This window comes from Homo sapiens, chromosome 2 (genome assembly GCF_000001405.40).
Source record: "Homo sapiens chromosome 2, GRCh38.p14 Primary Assembly".
Classification (NCBI taxonomy): Eukaryota; Metazoa; Chordata; class Mammalia; order Primates; family Hominidae; genus Homo; species Homo sapiens.
This window is the reverse complement of record NC_000002.12, coordinates 95925461-95946037: the sequence shown is the minus strand read 5'-3', so window position 1 is coordinate 95946037 and position 20577 is coordinate 95925461. Positions and strand designations below refer to the sequence as shown.

The window sequence follows — 20577 nt, the reverse complement described above, 5'->3', positions numbered from 1 at the left end:
TAAGTATTTACACAAAACAAATTGTCGAGTAAATGCTAACCAGTATTATTAGGCATATATTATGAACACAAGCTTTTCTTTTAAGCTGATATTTGATTGACTGGTCATGTCTCTTTTTTTGTTTGTTTCTCCCTCCTTCCCCTTTGTTTAAAAATAACTTACCTCAGTCTAATATTTTCCTTGCAGACCGCATGTCTTTAGTGTCTATTCTTTCATTTCACCTCTGTTTCTGTTGTCAGGATACTTAGTTACAGCTTTCTATTTAGTAACTATGTGTGGCCTTCATTCATGAATCATTGCTCCATAAGGTGGATGGTTGCTTTGTTCTGTCTTTTTTGGAAGGAGCGGAGGTTATACAATAATTTGTTTTTAGCTTTTGACACACAGAATAGAAGCAACTTACACTGTTTAAAGATAGTACTACTAAAAACTACATTCTCACATTTTTTCCCGCAGAAAGTAATTCACACAAATATATATCATGCCTAAGTATTTTGAAAAATAAAGTGATTAATTGACTTTTTATTATTAGTTTTGTTCAGTCATACTCTAAATTACAGATGAGTAAATTTTTGTCCCAGTTTGTTGTGGTTAATAAAAGAAACTAATGGATATCATAGTATTTGTATAATAATCAACTGGGGTTGAAAGGAGTAACATTTTGAGAATATCTGTATCACCAATCATAATCATCATCCCATGTGAATATGTAGATAAGTAAATGGCAGACTTGAGGTTTGAATCTACATATGAGTGACTTCAAAGTCCATCCTTTTTGTGTTAGATCATGTAGTAATGGTGGCAATTATCATTATTTTAACTTGCTGCATGTTATTCTTAAACCTATTGTGTCTTTCTTCTAGAATATTTCAGAACCATACTTTACAAACAGAAGGACTATTTCTCAACAATCTGCAGAAAAGTGTAAGCTATTTGAAACCTGACTATTATATTATCTACTGATTCTTTTTTTTCTTTCTTTTTCTTTCTTATTTTTTGTAGACAGAGTGTTACTCAATGTTGCCCAGGCTGGAGTGCAGTGGCATGATCTTGGGTCACTGCAACTTCCACCTCCTGGGTTCAAGTGATTCTCCTGCCTCAGCCTCCCGAGTAGCTGGGATTACAGGTGTGCACCACCACACCTGGCTATTTTTGTATTTTTGGTAGAGATGGAGTTTCACCATGTTGGCCAGGCTGGTCTTGAACACCTGACCTCATATGATCTGCCTGCATCGGCCCCCCAAACTGCTGGGATTAAAGCTGTGAGCCCCCACACCCGGTTCTTATTTACTGATTCTTAATTACATGCATTTCATCTACTCTTGACTTTGTTTTTACTGTAGTAGATGCTGCATGTGGCATTGACAAAACAGAAAATGGAACCTTGTTTGAAGACCAAAATGTTGATAAGGTAAATGAAGATGTGGTTAAAAGCCAACATAGAATAATCAGAGTCCAGTCCTGTTCACCAACTCACTCTTATCTGTTAATGATCTTTAATTTTACAATGGTAAATTGTTTTATTTGGAAAATAGTTTTCCCATGCTTTATTCACTTGCCATCTCCCTGTCTTTATAACGATGACAAGGATCCTATAAAGGAATGGAAGTTCTCAAGGTAATAATAGAAAAGAAGTGTGACAACAAGGGAAATATATGCATGGGACTAGGATTCCTAAAAGGTTGTGGGAGTAAATGATTCTTAGGTTTGCCATTAGGGAAGGAAAGAAGTAGAAAGCAACCTGAAAGAACAGCTCCACAAATACAAAGGTGAGGAGGGGAAAGAAGTAAGAATACAGAGTTGAATAAGAGTGTCAAGATGACAAAGATTAGTATAAAACACCTCAAAAGCGGTGAATTTAAATGACAGTAGAATGTCTCCATATCATATTATAGAATTATTTTAAATATAGATTAAGAAAAGAAAGCCAAGTAATTAAAAAATTCTCAGATTCTTCTGAGTGACTTACGGGTGATTTTAATAAAGTATTGGAAGAAAATTTATGGGTGACTATATTTAACATTCTGTTTTACATTTAAAAATAGCCAGGAGAGAATAACTTGAATATTTCTAGTTTAAATAAAACATACATAGTTAAGGTAATGTGTATCTCTGTTACCCTCATTAGATTATATAGATGGATCAAATCATCACACGTACACTGAAAATATATACATCTATTTATTAATTTAAAAATTCTAAATGGAAAGAAAATTTCATCCTCACTTTTTAAAATTTCAGTAAAGTGATGTCTTATATTTTATCTAGTGAATGCTGTGTTCATAGATAATGCAAAATAAAATGTGTTTTAGGCTATATCAGATTTTGAATGAATCATTACTTTTTGACTCTTGTTAAAAGTTTTTTAAAGTAATATTTGGTATATTCCTAAGTTGCTTAACTAATTTATTTCACTTTTCCATAATCTTGGAGCTGTTTTAGCCTTTTTTGATAATAAGAGGGAAAATAAATAATTAAATAATAAAAAATAATAAAAATTAATTTATACATAAATTAATAAAAATTAAAATTTCTGGTTAATTTTTTTTTTTTTGAGACGGAGTCTCGCTCTGTCTCCCAGGCTGGAGGGCAGTGGGCGATCTCGGCTCACTGCAAGCTCCACCTCCCGGGTTCACGCCATTCTCCTGCCTCAGCCTCGCGAGTAGCTGGGACTATAGGCGCCCGCCATCACGCCCGGCTAATTTTTTTTATATTTTTAGTAGAGACGGGGTTTCACTGTGTTAGCCAGGATGGTCTCGATCTCCTGACCTCGTGATCTGCCCGCCTCGGCCTCCCAAAGTGCTGGGATTACAGGCGTGAGCCACCACGCCTAGCCATTTCTGGTTAATTTTATAGGAGGTTTCTAATTTATATTCATTGAATGAGAAAAAATATATTTTTAACCTGGAACCCTCTTAAAGAAATAAATTATTACTTATTTCTGGAGCTAGTCTGACTTACCTTGTGCTGATAATATCTGTACTTAAGAACATACATGTGATGAATGCAGTCAACACTCATGATTGTTTTCTAAACAAAGTACCTATTTTTATAGAATCGTAAGGAAAGAAATATTGCCAACAGAGTACACAGAATTATCTCTGGAATATTACTTTTTACTTTTAAAACTATCTCCTACAGTTGGGACATTTTGTATTATTCTCTGGAAGCATTATTAACTTTAGTATTTATAGTTGTTATACCTTGCACATAAATTTATTCAGCTCTAAAACTCAGGAATCCTTTTGACTTGATGTTTCAAATAAATTTCTTCTCTCTTCATGTGAGTATTGGGTCCTGACTGACAGGCATAGTGTATTTGAAGACATGTAAATCTTCAGCTTGCATGGTGATATGATTATTTTACTTGATCCTTTCTCTGATTTTTAACTATTATCTTTATGGCATAAGTAGGCAATTAGAGCTATTAGTATATCATTTACAGGAGAATCAGAAAACCATATGAACTTTAAAATAGGTTTTACATTTCTCTCTTATATTTTAGTAGTACTTAAAATGCCTTATAATTCTATAATAGAATAAACATTCGTACAAGTTAAAAACTTTTAAGATGATTTTTTAAAAATGAGCTTTCTTAGGATACCTTGAATTATTGGTTTAGATAACTGTTTTCATTAAGTTCAAAAATGCAGATGACCATAATATTCCAGAAATAAATATCTGCATACATTAAGAAAATATATTTTATATCTTTTAATCCAGTATAGAAATATATAATTGAAATTTTGAATCCCATATTTTGTTTTCTTTTTATTTTCAAAACTTCAGGGTTCTTCATAGGTTTAAATTATCGAATCCTACCAGTTTAGTATATTTTACAAATGTTGACCTTCTCAACAACATATGGTTTTTTTGAGTAAGGTCATCTATTTCTACTCCAAATGTATTTACCCAGATCAGTCTTCTAAGTCCCCTTTGTGCCTCAAATTTGACAGGTCTCAAACTGCCTTCCAGATTCTTTCCTGACTCTTTGTAATCTACTCTGTCATCTGGCGTCCCAATTTTAGTAAATAACACCAAGAAAGTAGCAATGAAACATTGAAGCAGAAAAACTGCACTCCAGGTTTCCCTCACATTGCCAATCCAGTGACTCACCAAATTTTGTATTTTCTACCTTTAACCATTTCTCGTATCTTATTACTGTAATACACTGTCTGCCCTATACTTTTGGAATGTTCGTTTTTGTTTCTCTCTTCTCCCCATGTTTATCTATCTATATATGTCTTTCAGGGTGACCTTTCTTAAACATGTTTACTTTGATCTAACTCATCTGCTTACGGCTGGACCCTCATTACACGAAAGAAACATTTACATTCTAGCATAACACTTATTTTGTGGTTTGGCCTGTTTCTCCCATTTTATCTCTCCACTCCACTTTCTCTGTCTGTGCCCAAGTTTTACCACGTTATTGTGGTAGTTCTTATTGGCTATGCTGTTTCATTTTTTTGCACATGCTGCCCTCACTAGAAACACTTCACATTCTTAGTCTTCACTTGTCTATTTTAAAAATAGGACCCTAAATTTACAGTGTCTCAGAAGCTTCCCAAGTAGAAATAAGTGTTATTGCCTTTGTGCTGTCACTGTATTTTATTGACTTGAATTGTAGAAATAATGAATTGTGTCTTTCTGCTTTTGTTTGTTTTTATGTTTCTTTTTTCACTTGATAAATAAATAAAATTGGTATTTTATTCATATTATCAGATTTTCCAGTATAGACCTTATGAATTTATAGACACAGAAAATGTTTCTTGAATTACTGACCGATTGAGTAGTAAATATAACATTTTCTGAAGATTTCTTTTTTTTTTTTTTAATAGGAAGGAAAAGCACTACCAGCAACTGGACAAAAAGCAAATGGTATTGGTATTATAAAAAGTGCTCCATGAGAGCAATCAAATAATGATAATGTTATTTTTTGTGTACAAAGAAACAAAGGTGGTGAGGTAGTGAATATAGCTGAATAATTTTCTATGCTTTAATATAATTTTTGAAAATAAATATAACTATAATTTAAAATAAATTTAAAATTAAATTAATTGTTAAATTACATTAAATTATAAGCCTAATTTTAATTAAATTATAAATATAATTTATTAATTTTTAATAGTAAATATAATTTAATTTAAACATACTTTTTCTTAAAACTTTGGTGAACACTTAAACTTGTAGATCAAAATATAATGTTCATTGTTGAGAAATGGACATTAGTATATTTACAAAAAAATGTGAGGTGGGATGGTGTAAATTAAGAAAGCAGCTGGCTAGGTAATTTGGAGGTTTCTGATGAGGAAACTTGAGGGAACTCACTTTATGTAGACTCAGTATATTCCCACTCAAAGAGAAGATTAAATTATTGCTGCTTTGGAGCTTACTGGAAGCAGAGGGTAGAAAAACGACAGGAAACCACAGGAACTCATTTCTTCTCTCTATAGGGGTTACACATCAATGATATGCGCTTCATTCATGTTTGTTAGTGAACTGGGATGCACTTGGATATCAAAACATTGGCAGTTTTCTTTAAAAACAGTGCTGTTTTTGATGAAATAGCCATTGTATAAATGTACCTCAGAGGCTGCTATGCTATAGCATATCAAACTGACTTTAGAAAAAAACAAACGAGAAATTTATTTCTTGAGTACTAAAAGTGTAACTGTCAATAATCATGGCAAATATTTTGATAGGTAAAAGTTGATTAAGCCGGGCGCGGTGGCTCACGGCTGTAATCCCAGCACTTTGGGAGGCTGAGGCGGGAGGATCACGAGGTCAGGAGATGGAGACCATCCTGGCTAACATGGTGAAACCCCATCTCTACTAAAAATACAAAAAGTTAGCCAGGCGTGATGGCATGTATGTGCCTGTAGTCCCAGCTACTAGGGAGCCTGAGGCAGGAGAATCACTTGAACCCGGGCGGCGGAGGTTGCTGTGAGCCGAGATTGTGCCAATGCACTCCAGCCTAGGCAACAGAGCAAGACTCCATGTCAAAAATAAAAAAAAGAAAGTTGATTGTTATGAAAAAAAAGTCAATGGTGATTCAGAGATTTTTGGTTACATTTTGTAAATGAAAATCTGAGTACTCATTAGTTATTTGATGTGTAATGCATACTTTTTTTTTGCATAAGTGAATGAAAAGATGGCAAGAGAACTAAAGTTGAGAATCCAGAAGCTGAAAATATCAGAAGCCTTCATGACTGTGGATGACATGAGTATTTTTAGAAACGATTTTTCTCCAAGTAGATATCTAAACTAATGATTGAGAGCACTTCCTGCCAGCAGAAGCGAATGATACATTTTCTTTTCTTTTCTTTTCTTTTTGAGACGGAGTCTCGCTCTGTCACCCAGGCTTGAGTGCAGTGGCGGGATCTCGGCTCACTGCGAACTCCACCTCCCGGATTCACGCCATTCTCCTGCCTCAGCCTCCTGAGTAGCTGGGACTACAGGCTCCTGCCACCACGCCCGGCTAATTTTATGCATTTTTAGTAGAGACGGGGTTTCACCGTGTTAGCCAGGATGGTCTCGATCTCCTGACTTCGTGATCTGCCCGCCTCGGCCTCCCAAAGTGCTGGGATTATAGGCGTGAGCCACCGCGCCCGGCCGCGAATGATACATTTTCATGCACTCTCATTGCAACTTCATAGTTTCTAACATTTATTCTTCTGGGGTCCGCTTTGGTTCTCTCATTTGACGTCATCTTTTTTGGCTTCATCCAGCAGATTCACATTGGTAGAAATACTTTTCTATGTTACTTGTAGTCATGTGAAACCTAATCTCACCCTTGCAATCTGGACTGCATGTTTTATAGAATCTATATTGTGATTTTTCATGTGTATATTCCTGTCATGTTTGTGTGCTAACCAAAACAAGAGCAAAACAACCCAAAGCCTAATGGGTAACAATTTCAAGGGCAAGCACGAAGATTTCAGCTGGATACAAACACTGCATGATTGATGGTAGGCTGTGTCATATTTACCTGTAGTCAATTATGTGTTCCTTTTGCTTTGTAGTGTCTCCTGAGCAACCGCCTTTATTCACGGTAAACATATTTTCTTTAATTATTAACAAAATGCTCTGTGATATATACATGATATGTTAATCATTATGTTGTCAAACCCATTCAGCATACGGTGAAAGACAGTGATCACATTTCAACTAGATTCTTAGGAAGTATGGATTCACTAACTTCCAGTGAAGGTAAATTTGCCACTACAAATTTCATTCTAGAAAATGTAGATGAAAATATTGAAAATGCTCGTAGTTTTTTGATTCCCACTTTTTATCCAAATGAGATGGAAGGATTTGATGTAAATATGCTGATGTTCTTGTTAATATCTTTGTTTATAAAATGATTTTTAAGGCATAAGGCGGACATTTTACACTGTGAGCTCTAGCCCAAATGCTTTTCCTTTAAAGTTGTCATCATTTAAAGATCCCAGTGTTGAATTCCTTTGCATGTTAGGGATTTGAGTAGGTGTATTTTGACACTAAATATTTTCAGTGCTTCAAAATTGATTGCAATACTCTCTTCTTCATCTAGAGAAAAGCTATACCTGCTGACATTACAATTGTTTTAGAACTTCAACGACTTTATGTCAGTGTTGTTACATTGAGAATCTTAATCACATCTTCTGATTACCGGATTGAGTTTCTGCATGTGTATGTGTGTGTGTATCTCTGATTAAAAATGAATAAAATGATTAATCATTCTTTTGTAACTCTTTGGTAGATACAGTGTTTTAAAACAATGATTCTGAGCTGTTTTGGCCTTAGAATATTTTCTTCTACTACTATTTATTGTCTACAGGTAACCAACAGCCTGAATTAATGTTTTTTACTTTTAAGTCACTGCAATGCACATTAAAAATACTTTACAAGATACTTGCACTTTCATAGGTAATATGTGGAATCTGTTTCCAAGTATCAAGTCTTCTGTACGCTTTCACACAATGTACATAATAGCTGCAACTCGGCTTTTGTAATCAGTGGAATATATTTCAGATCTGTCCAGGTTGACACAGTTTGGTCATCTTTGTTTTGTTTTATGACTGCACCACATATTTGATTTGTTTTATGACTGCACCACAATTAATTAAAGTCTCTTCATGCTGATACAAAATGAACATAAATATGATGACATACCAACATAGATTTGCTTATGTGGTTGCCTTTATTGATTTGTACTATAAAGAAATTAAATAGAAGTATTTCAGATACCCATAGTATAGCTGTATACACTGCCATAGCTGTATTGAGTACATTCATTACCCCTTAGAGCCATGTTTTTCCATCATGTTATGACTCTGAAAAACTCCAGTGTATGCTTTTCAGAGAATGACATTGGAAAGAAGAAATGGCCAAAGTATCATTTGGTACCTTGGCTTCCTTACATAGATGTTGAACTCCAGGAATGATCAAATCACAGTTTAGGACCCCTTTGTTGGGCCCTATAAAGGGTTTCCAGATGTCAAATGATAGTCTCCAGATGAAGAAATGCTCTATAATGCCTCACCGCTGTGTTTTCCTGTATTTTGTGCTTTTCTGAAAACTTTAAATACACGAATTTTTGGTAGAAATGAAAATCTTTCTGTTTTATATATTTGTTTTTGTCCATGGCACTCTGATCTCTTTGAATCTGGTAAGGATCTAGCCTTGTCTTGTTTATACCAGCAAGCAGTGTTGTCACTTAATGCTCTCATTTTTCACGTAAATGACTGACATTTTCCCAAGTCTTCACAAGTGATTTCTGAAGATGTTGCTGCATTGAGCAGAGACTATGTCATTGTAATTGCAGAAGTTTTAAAATTAAACATGTTTAATAAAATTTTAGAGTCTGTTTATCTGGAACACATAACACATAATGGTGTAATGTGTATTTAACCATAAATTAGCTTCACAAAAAGTTTGTGTACATAAAAGTGTTTATATCCAAAGAAATTCTTATTTACTGCTCAGTAATCTCTTGTGTAGAAGAAAATATGTAACATAGTTTGCTGAGTCTTTGATAATAACCCTCAGTGTAAAATAAAGCCGTAAAGATAAAATGAGAGTTGATACTCGATGAAACTGATGTGAGTGAATAGAAACTATGAAACTGTGTCTATGGGAGAGAGGAGGACATGGGGCTGCTGTTGTGAAGAAGGAATTTGTACAAGTTAGTCCATTTTCTGTAACTTTTATATTCTAATAAAGGAAAACCATATCTTCATATTTATAAAAATGAGATTTTACTGGTTTGATCACAGGGGTGGTGAGAATAATGAAGAACAAAATGTGGAAGGCAAAGAATGAAGACCAGATAGTGAGATTAGATTTATCAACAAAAAAGAGTACAAGTGGGGTGGGATGGTGTAAATAAAGATAGCAGCTGGCTAGGTGTTTGGGGGTTTCTGATGAGGAAACCTGAGAACACTGACTTTATGTGGACCTGGTATATTCGCACTCGAACAGAATATTGGATTATTGTTGCTTCAGAGATTAATGGAAGCAGAGGTGGAAGAATGAGAGTAAACCACAGGGACTCAATTCTTTTCTCTGTAGGGGTCACACAGCAACAATAGGACAGGTGCTTCATGTTAGCAAAATGTGATGCACTGCATGTCAAACTGACTGTGGAAGCAAAACAATCAAGAAATATATTTCTTGAGTATTATTTATTTATTTATTTATTTTATTATTATTATACTTTAAGTTTTAGGGTACATGTGCACAATGTGCGGGTTTGTTAAAATGTAACTGTCGATAATCATGGCAAATATTTTGATATATAAAAGGTGATTAACATGAAAAAAGCCTCTGATGTTTCAAATATTTTGGTTAGATTTGTTTTATGGGAATCTAATTACACATTAGGTATTTGGAGTGTAATGTATACGTTTTTTGCATAAGTGAATGAAGAGATGGCAGGAGGGCTAAAGTTGAGAATCCAGGAAATGGAAAAACACCAGAAGCGTGCATGACTGTGGACAACATGAGTATTTTTGTTAACTATGCTTCTGTATGTAGATATCTGAACTAATGAACTGAGAATACATCCTGCAAGCAGAAGTGAATGATAGATTTTAATGAAATTGATAGTTTTTAAGTTAGAGGACAAAATGAAGAACAGGAGAACTATTGTAGTATTATAGTATAAATGGTTCTTGGGTGATTTTCTTCAGGGTACACCATAGCGTTCTACCATGGGCTTTGACATTTATCCTTCTGGGGTCCTATTTGGTCCTTTCTTTTGACATCACATTTTTTGGCTTCAGTTAAGAGGATCACATTGGTAGAAGTACTTTCCTGTGTTAGTTGTAGTCATGGGAAACCTAATCTCTCTCTTGAAATCTGGACTACATGTTTTATGAAAACTTAATTATGTGTCCCTTTTGCTTTGTAGAATCTTCTGAGCGACCTCCTTTATCCACGGTAAACAAATATATTTTCATTTTTAATTAACAAAATGCTTTGTGATATATACATGATATATTAATCATTATGTTGTAAAACCCATTCAGCTTACTCTGAAAGAGGCAGATCCCAGTTCAAAAGCAGCCATGAGAAGGAAGGATTCACCACCTCCAGGAAAAGGTAAATTTGCCAATACAAATTTCATCTGGAAAGAAGGACATGAATATACTGGAAATGTTCATAGCCTTCTGATTCTTACTTCTTTTACCCCAGTAAGATAGAAGGATTTGATCTAAATGATGCTGATGCTGTTAGTGTCTATGCTTATAAAATGATATTTAGAAGAACAAGGAAAAGAAATTTTAAAAATGTGAGCTCTAGCTCAGATGCTTTTCCTTTTAGGTTGTAATAAAGATCCCAGTGTGGAATTTGTATGCATGTTAGGGGTTCAAGGAGATGAATTTTGAAACTATAAATATTTTTCAGTGCTTCAATTTCTGGTTGCAATACTGTCCTTTACCTAGAGAAAAGCTATACCAGCTGACATTACAATTGTGTTAGAACTTCATCTTCTTTATGTCGGTGTTGTCACGCTGAGAACCTTCGAGTCTTCACCCAATCACATGCTCTGATTACCAGCTTGAATTTCTGCATGTGTATGTGTGTGTGTGCTTTTGTTTGTGAGTTTGGGTGTGTGTGATACCTCTGATTCTGGAAAATGAGTAAAGTCATTAATCATTTTTTGGTGACTCTTTGGTAGATACAGGGTTTTAAAGCAATGATTCTGAGCTGTTTTAGCCTTAGAGTCTTTGATACTACTACAATTCATTGCCTACAGGTAACCAACAACCTGAATTAATGTTGGTTTGTTTGCTTTGTATTATACCTTAAGTTCTGGGATACATGTGAAGAACATGCAGGTTTTTTACATAGGCATACATGTGCCATGGTGGTTTACTGTACCCATCAACCCATCAGCTACATTGGGTATTTCTACTAATACTGTCCCTCCCCTAGGACCCCATCTCCCTGACAGGCCCTGGTGTGTGATGTTCCCCTCCCTGTGTCCATGTGTTCTTATTGTTCAACTCCCACTTATGAGTGAGAAAATGTGGCATTTGGTTTTCTTTTCCTGTGTTAGTTTGCTGAGAATAATGGTTTCAGGCTTCATCCGTGTCTTTGCAAAGGACATGAACTCATCCTTTTTTAATGGCTGCATAGTATTCCATGATGTGTATATGCCACATTTTCTTTATCCAGTCTATCACTGATGGGCATTCGGGCTGGTTCCAAGTCTTTGCTATTGTGAGTAGTGCTGCAATAGACATAGATGTGCATGTGTCTTTATAGTAGAATGATTTTTAATCTTTGGGGTATGTATTCAGTAATGGGATTGCTAAGTCAAATGGTATTTCTGGTTCTACATCCTTGAGGAATCACCACACTGTCTTCCACAGTGGTTGAAATAATTGACACTCCCACCAACAATATAAAAGCGTTCCTATTTCTCCACATCCTCTCCAGCATCTGTTGTTTCCTGAGGTTTTAATGATCACCATTCTAACTGGCATGAGATGGTATCTCATTGTGGTTTTGATTTGCATTTCTCTAATGATCAGTGATCATGAGCCTTTTTTTCATATGTTTACTGGCTGAATAAATGTCTTCTTTTGAGCATATCCTTCACCCACTTTTTGATGAGGTTGTTTGTTCTTTTCTCATAAATTTGTTTAAGTTCCTTTTAGATTCTGGATATTAGCCTTTTGTCAGATGGAGAGATTGCGAACATTTTCTCCTGTTCTGTAGGTTGCCTGTTCACTCTGATCATAGTATTGGAAGTTCTGGCCAGGGCAATCAGACAAGAGGAAAAAATAAAGGGTATTCAAATAGGAAGAAAGGAAGTCAAATTGTCTCTGCAGATAACATGATTGTATTTTTAGGAAACCAAATTGTCTCAGTCCCAAATCTCCTTCAGCTGATAAGCAACATCAGCAAAGTCTCAGGATACAAAATCAGTGTGCAAAAATCACAAGCATTCCTATACACCGATAAAAGACAAACAGCAAAATCATCATGAGTGAACGCCCATTCACAATTGCTACAAAGAGAATAAAATACCTAGGAATACAACTCACAAGGGATGAGAAAGACCTCTTCAAGGAACACTACAAACCACTGCTCAAGGATATAAGAGAGGACACAAACAAATGGAAGAACATTCCATGCTCATGGTTAGGAAGAATCAATATCATGAAAATGGCCATACTGCCCAAAGTAATTTATAGGTTCAATGCTATAGACTACCATTGACTTTCTTCACAGAATTAGAAAAAACTACTGGAAATTTCATATGGAACAAAAAAGGGCCCATATAGCCGAGACAATTGTAAGCAAAAAGAACAGAGCTGGAGGCATCACGCTACCTGACTTCAAACTACACTACAAGGCTATAGTAATGAAAACAGCATGGTACAGCTACCAAAACAGCGATATAGAACAATGGAACAGAACAGAGGCCTCAGAAGTAACACCATACATCTACAACCATATGATCTTTGACAAACCTGACAAAAAGCAATCAGTGGGGAAAAGATTACCTATTTAATAAATGGTGTTGGGAAAACTGGCTAGCCTTATGCAGGAAACTGACACTGGACCCCTTCCTTACACCTTATACAAAAATTAACTCAAGATAAATTAAAGACTTAAACGTTTAAGTAAGACCTAAAACCATAATAACCCTAGAAGAAAATCTAGGCAATACCATTCAGGACATTGGCATGGGCAAAGACTTCATGACTAAAACACCAAAAGCAATGGCAACAAAAGCCAAAATTGACAAATGGGATCTAATTAAACTAAGGAACTTGTGCGGTTTTATTTGGGAGTGTGCATGAGGTACCTCTGAGTTTCAAAAATGAAGAAAGTAAGTGGTCATGCTTTCCTGACTCTTTGGTAGACACAGCCTTTTAAGACGGTGATTCTGAGCTGTTACGGTTTTGGGTTTTCTATAATACTGAAGCTTACTGCTGACATGTAACCAAGAGCTTGAATTAATTTAAAAAAAAAGAAATCACCCAAATGCACATTAAAAACCTCTTACAACATATGTGCACATTCATAGATAACATGTAGGACTTGATTTTGTGTATTAAAAACTTGTAGAAAAGTTCAGGCAGTGCACTTAATGAATGCAACTTGGTCTTTGTAAAATCAGTGATATATATTTCAGATCTATCCACATTGACCCAGTGAGGTATTTCTTGATTTATTGTATGATCTCATGATATGCCATGTGATGACTACAGCATATTATGCTCTCTTCATGCTGATACCATATGGACTTAAATATGATGACATACCAACATGGATATGCTTACGTGGTTGCTTTTATTGATTTATACTATATTAGAAATGAAACAGAAGTATTGGAAATCCTAGCAAGCATAGCTGTATCTCTCCCATGGCTGTGTTGATTGCAACTGTTTCCCCCTTAAAGCATGTCTTTTTGACATGTCCTGACTCTGAGAAAATCCAGTGTGTGCTTTTCAGAGACTAACAGTAAGGAGTGGAAATGGCCAATGGTCAAAGTGTTACTTGTCCTCTTGGCTCCCCTTCATGAATGTTAAACTCTAATCTACTCAGGTCACAATTTAGAACCCCTTTGTTGATCCCTATAGAGTGTTCCCAGATGTCAAATGGCAAATAGGACTTTGATGAAGAAACACCCCGTAAAGCCATATTGCTCTGGTTTTTGTGTGTGAATGTGTGTGTGTGTGTGTGTATGTGTGTGTATTTTTTTCTCTTCTGAAAACTGTAAATAGAGGAATTTTAATTACAAATGAAAATGTTTCTGTTCCATATTTATTTCCTGTCTAATGTACTTTGCTCTTCTTGGATCTAGTAAGGATCTCAGCTTGTCTTTTTTATACCTGCAAAAAATTATGTCAGTGCTTCATTTTTCATGTCAATTACTGACATGTTTTCAAGTCTTCACAAGTTATTTCTGAAGATTTTGGTGCATCAAGGAGAGACTGTCATTGTAGTTAAAGAAGTTTCTAAATAGGTTATATTCAATAAAATTTCAGAGCTTGTTTCTCTGGAAAGCATAGACATAGTGGTGTTATGGGTAGTTAAACATAAAATAGCTCCACAAAGTGTTGTGTACATAAAAGTGTTCATATCCTGGAAAATTCTAGTTTATTGCTCAGTACTGTCTGCTGGAGAGGAAAACAGGTAGGATAGGCTGCTGAGCCTATGATAATAACTCATAATATGAGGTGAAAGCATAGAGACAAAATGAGAGATGATAGATACTCAAACCGATGTGAGTGAAGAACAGCTGTGAAAGAGTGTCTATGGGAGAGAGGAGGCAATGGGGCTGCTTTTGTGAAGAAGGAATTTGTACATGTTAGTCAAGTGTCTGACATATTTAACATTTTAATAAAGCAAAACCTTATCTTCACATGTGTCAGAATGGGATTGTACAGATGTCACAATACAGTGGTGGTGAAAATAATGAAGAAACTAATGTGGAGGTCAAAGAATCAAGTCCACCAATATGGATATTAGATTTATGAACAAAAAAGAATGTATGTCAAATTGGGCAGGTGTAAACAAAGAAAGCAGCTAGTGAGGTAATTTGGAGGTTTCTGATGAGGCGACTTGTGGCAAGTCCCTTAATGGAAAGCAGAAGCAGAAGTTAGAAGGATGAGGGTAACCCACAGGGTCTCATTTCTTCTCCCTAGAAGTTTTGCACATCAATGATACATGCTTCGTTCACATCAGATTTTTGTTTTTTGTTTTTTTTTTGGAAAGCTGTGTTTGCTGAGGTAGTTATTTTGTAAAACAACCTGAGAGACCCCGATGGTATATCATGTGAAACTAGATTTTAAAAAAAAGGAATCAAAGAATGTATTTTAAGAGTACTAAACAGATAACTGCCAATAATCATGACAATCATGACATATGTATATATATGTATTATGTCATATTGGTTGGTTATTTATAAGAAAAGAAGTCTCTAGTGATTTAGAAACTTTGTTTAGTTTATTTTCATAGGAATCTGATTACACATTATTTCATTGATGTGTATGTTTTTGCAAAAGTGGACGAAGAGACAGTGAGAAAGTTGAACTGCTGAATCCAGGAAATGTAGAAACATCAGGAGTCTTCATGAGTATAAATAAAATGATTTTTTAAATTATAACTCTTAGATTAAGTGAACTCACTTCAGATGCATTTAGAATATTTGCATAAGGGATGATTTGATTTTTGGCTGCTCCAGGAACTACTGGAAGCAGGAAAGAGTGATAGAATTGGGATAAACCACAGTGACTCATTGCTCCTCTTTGTTACCATTGGGCACCAGAGGTATATGTTTTGTTGACATTGGTTATTCAAATGAGATAAACATGAATATGCATACATTGGCTTTGTTTTTCAAGGAGCTATTGGATAAAATAGCAACTTAATAAAAATTCTCTAGAGAATAACATGATACTTTAACCAGACTATTTTAGAAGTGAAAATAATGTTGAATTCATTACTTGAATCCCAAATGGTTATTTTCAAGGAATATTGGAGTGATTTCCAGATGTAAAAGCTTATTCATATCTAATGCTTGTAGAAACTTTATTTTGTATAAGTATGTCAAATTTGCTAATTTATTACACTTTTTGATGAAGTTTATATATTATACCTTGTTGCAATGAGTGGATGAAGGAACTTTTGGAAGGCTAAACTAGAAGATACAAGAGATATAGGCACATTATTACACCATATGGGTGTGAAAAATAATGAATATTACATACTAGAATTCACCAAACATATATCCAAGCTGATTAAGTTAGGACACTTCCACTGAAGAGATTTCAACTAAAGTGTCATTATAATTGTGTACCTTCTCACTGATCAATCAAGTTAAAGAGCATGATGAATGTTTGCAGTAAAATGTTCCAAATCATACTGATATCTTGCATGAAAGACATGCGGGTGCATGTATCACCTGCTTTGACGTTGATTCCCAGGTGTATGAGTTGGACTCTGATTTTAGATCACATTTGTCCTCATCACTCAGCATATCCACATTGATATTGACATGGTTTTATCTTAGTTTTAGACATATGGAGAAAGTCATATCACATTTGAAATTGTCAGTGTATATTTCTTGAAGCCTGTATTCCTATTTTCTTCAGTGTATTTCCTTCATGTTTAGTCCCAAGAAACAAAGTATAAAATATCAAAGCCTACAGTAATACAGGCAGGAGTACAAAACTTGATGCTAACATGCTATCCATGCATTAATGTATGGATAACATTATCATATTTACATATGATTGATTATGTATCCCTTTTGCTTTTCAGTGTCTTCTCAGAAACAACCAGCTGAGAAGGTAATTAAAGTCTCATTTATATGTTGAACTATTAACTGTATAGTCTATGAAACCTACTTTACATATTGATTATTTTGTTTCAAATCCCATTCAGGCTACAAGTGACGACAAAGATTCTGTTTCAAATATAGCCACAGAAATAAAGGAGGGACCAATATCTGGGACAGGTAATTTTGCAAAACACTTCTAATGTCATGTTCAATCAAGATGGAAGAGAACTTCCCTTCCCCAAATAAATCAGTGGGGAGTTCGTCTAAGCTGCATGTTCTGATTCAGTATGCCTGAGATTCTTCATTTGTAGTGAGTTCTCAGGTGACCCTGATGCTGCTGGTCCTTGGTCATGATCTGAGTAGTAAGATTGTAGACTTCCCTACATTGAAATTGGGAAGAAGAACCATTGGAGAGAAGTTCAACACATACCAGGCTCAGGGAGCAGCATAATTTTGCTTTAATTTTACAGCATGTTTCCACCAAGAGGGGAAAGAGAACGAGATGAAGTAATAGATATTATAGGCATCATATCATATTGTTATAAACAGAGGGAAAAGTGATCCTAATAACTCCATAAACACTGTAGAATGAGAGCTAAGAAGACCACTGATGTAGCAATTATTTTCCTCAAGAAGGAGGGATTGTGAGGCAGGAAGGAGGAAAAAGAAGGTATTTATGTAATTTTGGAGTTTCTGCTGAGGAAACCTGAGTGAACTCATTTCAGATGCATTTAGAATATTTGCATAAAAGAAGATTTGATTTTGGCTGCTCCAAGAACTACTGGAAGCAGGAAAGAGTGCTAGAATCGGGATAAACCACAGTGACTCATTACTCCTCTTTGTTACTATTAGGCATCAGAGATACATGTTTTCTGGACTTTACTTATAAAAATGAGATGAACTTGCATATGAATACATTGGCTTCCTTGTTCAAGGAGCTAACTCTTGGATAAAATAGCTATTTAATGAAACTTCCTTAGAGACTAACATGATACTTCCAACAAGGCTATTTTAGAAACAAAAATGATGTTGAATTCTAATTAACTCCTACAGTGGTGATTTTCAATGAATATTGGAGTGATTTCTGAATGTAAAACTTATTAATATCTAATGCTTGTAGCAGTTTTACTTTGTAGAAGTATGTTAACATTGGTAATTGATATTTTTATTGAGGCTAATATATTATCGTTTGTTGCCAAGAGTGGATGAAGAAACTTTCAGAAGGCTAAACTAGTGGATACAAGAAACTTAGGCAAATTATTACACCACATGGGTGTGAGAAATAATATTATCTACTAGATTTCAGGAAACATATATCCAAGGTGATCAATTTAGGACACTTCCACTGAAGAGACGTGAAGTGTACATTTAACTGAATTGTCATCGTAATTGTGTATCTTCTAGTTATTGGGCAAGTTAAAGGGCATGATGAACGTTTGTAGTATAATGGTGTAAATCCTTTTGATTTCTTGCAAGAAAGACATGTGGGATAATGTACCACCTGCTTTGACATTGATTCTCAGGTGTGTGAGTTACTCCTCTGATTTGTCCTCATCACTCGGCATATCCACATTGATATTGACACGGTTTTATTTTAGTTTTAGACATATCACGAATCATACCATGTTTGAAATTGTAAGGGTATATTTTGTGAAGGCTGTATTCCTTTTTTTTCAGTGTATTTCTGTCGTGTTCCAGTCTCCAGACAAAAAGTAGAAAACATCAAAGCCTACACTAGTACAGGCAGGAAGATATAGTTTGATGCTAACACTTCATGAATGTATGGATAAATTTATCATATGTACATGTGAGTGATTATGTATCCCTTTTGCTTTTCAGTGTCTTCTCAGAAACAACCAGCTGAGAAGGTAATTAAAGACTCATTTATATGTTGAACTATTAACTGTATAGTCTATGAAACCTACTTTACGTATTGATTATTTTGTTTCAAATCCCATTCAGGCTACAAGTGATGAGAAAGATTCTGTTTCAAATATAGCCACAGAAATAAAGGAGGGACAACAATCTGGGACAGGTAATTTTGCAAAACACATTTAATGTCATGTTCAGTCAAGATAGAAAAGTACTTCTCTTCCCTGGAATAAATCAGCGGGGGATTCATTGAAGCTGCACATTCTGATTCAGCAGGCCTGAGATTCTTCAGTTCTCAGGTGACACTGATGCTGCTGGTCTTTGACATGATCTTTGCAGTAAGATTATAGACTTCCCCACATTGAAATTGGGAAGAATAAACGTTGGAGAGCCATTAAAGACAAAAGGAGTCAGGGGACAGCATAATTTTGCATTAATTCTACAGCATGTTTTCACCAAGGGTGGATGGAGAAAGAGATGAAGTATAGATTTTACAGACATCACATCGTATTGCTAAAAACAGATGGAGAAATTATGGTAATAGCCCATAAACACTGTAGAACGAGAGCTAAGGAGACCACTGATGTAGCAATGACTTTCCTCAAGGAAGAGGATTGTCAGGCAGGAAGGAGGGAAAATAAGAAGTTATTTATGTAATTTTGGGGTTTCTTCTGAGGAAACCTGAGTTCAGTTGTATATTCAAACATTTTTGTAAAAGAAGCTTTGATTTTGGCTGCTTTAGGAAACAGTGGAAGCAGGAAGGAGTACTAGAACTGGGATCAACCACAGTGACTCATTACTCCTCTTTGTTACTGTTGGGCATCAGAGATATACATTTTGTTGATATTAGTTATTCAAATGACATAAACATGAATATGCATATATTGGCTTTGCTTTTCAATTAGCTAACTTTTGGATAAAAATAGCAATTTAATGAAAATGCTTTAGAGAATAACATGATATTTTATGCCAGACTATTTTAGAAAGAAAAATAATGGTGAATTCATTAATTGACTTTTAAAATTCTCATTTTCAATGAATATTGGAGGGATTTCCAAATGTAAAAGGTTATTCATATCTAATGCTTGTAGCAACTTTATTTTGTATAAGTATGTCAAATTTGATCATTTATTATACTTTTTGATAAGGTTTATATATTATATTTGTTGCCATGAGTGGACGAAGAACCTTTCTGTAGCGTAAACTAGAGGACACAACAAATGTAGGCACATTATTACACCACATGGGTTTGAGAAATAAAGAATATTATATACAGGATTATCCCAACCTATATCCAAGCTGTTGAAGCTGGGCCACTTCCACCGAGGACTTGTGAAGTGTACATTCTACTAAAGTGTCATTGTCATTGTGTACCTGCTCAATTACCAGGCAAGTTAAAGAGCATGATGAATACTTGCAGTATAATGGTATAAATCCCTCTGATGTCTTGCATGAAAAACATGCAGTAGCATTTAGTACCTTCTTTGATATTGATTCCTGGGTGTATGAGTTGCTCCTCTGATTTTAGATCACATTTCTTTTCATCATTCGGCATATCCACATTGATATTGACACTTTTTATTTCAGTAATACACACATGACACATAATACCTCTTTGTAATTTCTGACTGTATATTTTCTGGAAGCGTGTATTCCTATTTTCTTCGCATATTTCCTCATGTTCCTGTCCCAAAGACACAAACTGTAAAACATCAAATCCTACACTAGTGCAGGTGGGAGGATACAGCTTGATGCTAACACTGCATGAATGTGTGGACGACTTTATCATATTTACATATGATGAATTATATATTTCTTTTACTTTTCAGTGTCTCCTCAGAAACAATCAGCCTGGAAGGTAGTTACTCTTTCATTTATATTTTGAATTATTTATTACATAGCCTATGAAATATATA

At 35.0% G+C, this 20577-nt stretch overlaps 1 protein-coding gene across 2 annotated transcripts in view; it reads left to right on the top strand.

The window, feature by feature from the left end:
* Window positions 1-20577, top strand: part of ANKRD36C (ankyrin repeat domain 36C) — a 142893-nt gene that overhangs the window by 45787 nt on the left and 76529 nt on the right. For both annotated transcript variants that reach the window (NM_001310154.3, NM_001393982.1), the window contains exons 18-29: window positions 864-924; window positions 1344-1411; window positions 4839-4878; window positions 7023-7051; window positions 7137-7209; window positions 10394-10422; window positions 10512-10584; window positions 16771-16799; window positions 16894-16966; window positions 18629-18657; window positions 18752-18824; window positions 20491-20519. In NM_001310154.3, the coding sequence (NP_001297083.1) occupies window positions 864-924; window positions 1344-1411; window positions 4839-4878; window positions 7023-7051; window positions 7137-7209; window positions 10394-10422; window positions 10512-10584; window positions 16771-16799; window positions 16894-16966; window positions 18629-18657; window positions 18752-18824; window positions 20491-20519 (606 nt within the window). The remainder of the gene's footprint in view (window positions 1-863; window positions 925-1343; window positions 1412-4838; window positions 4879-7022; window positions 7052-7136; window positions 7210-10393; window positions 10423-10511; window positions 10585-16770; window positions 16800-16893; window positions 16967-18628; window positions 18658-18751; window positions 18825-20490; window positions 20520-20577) is intronic.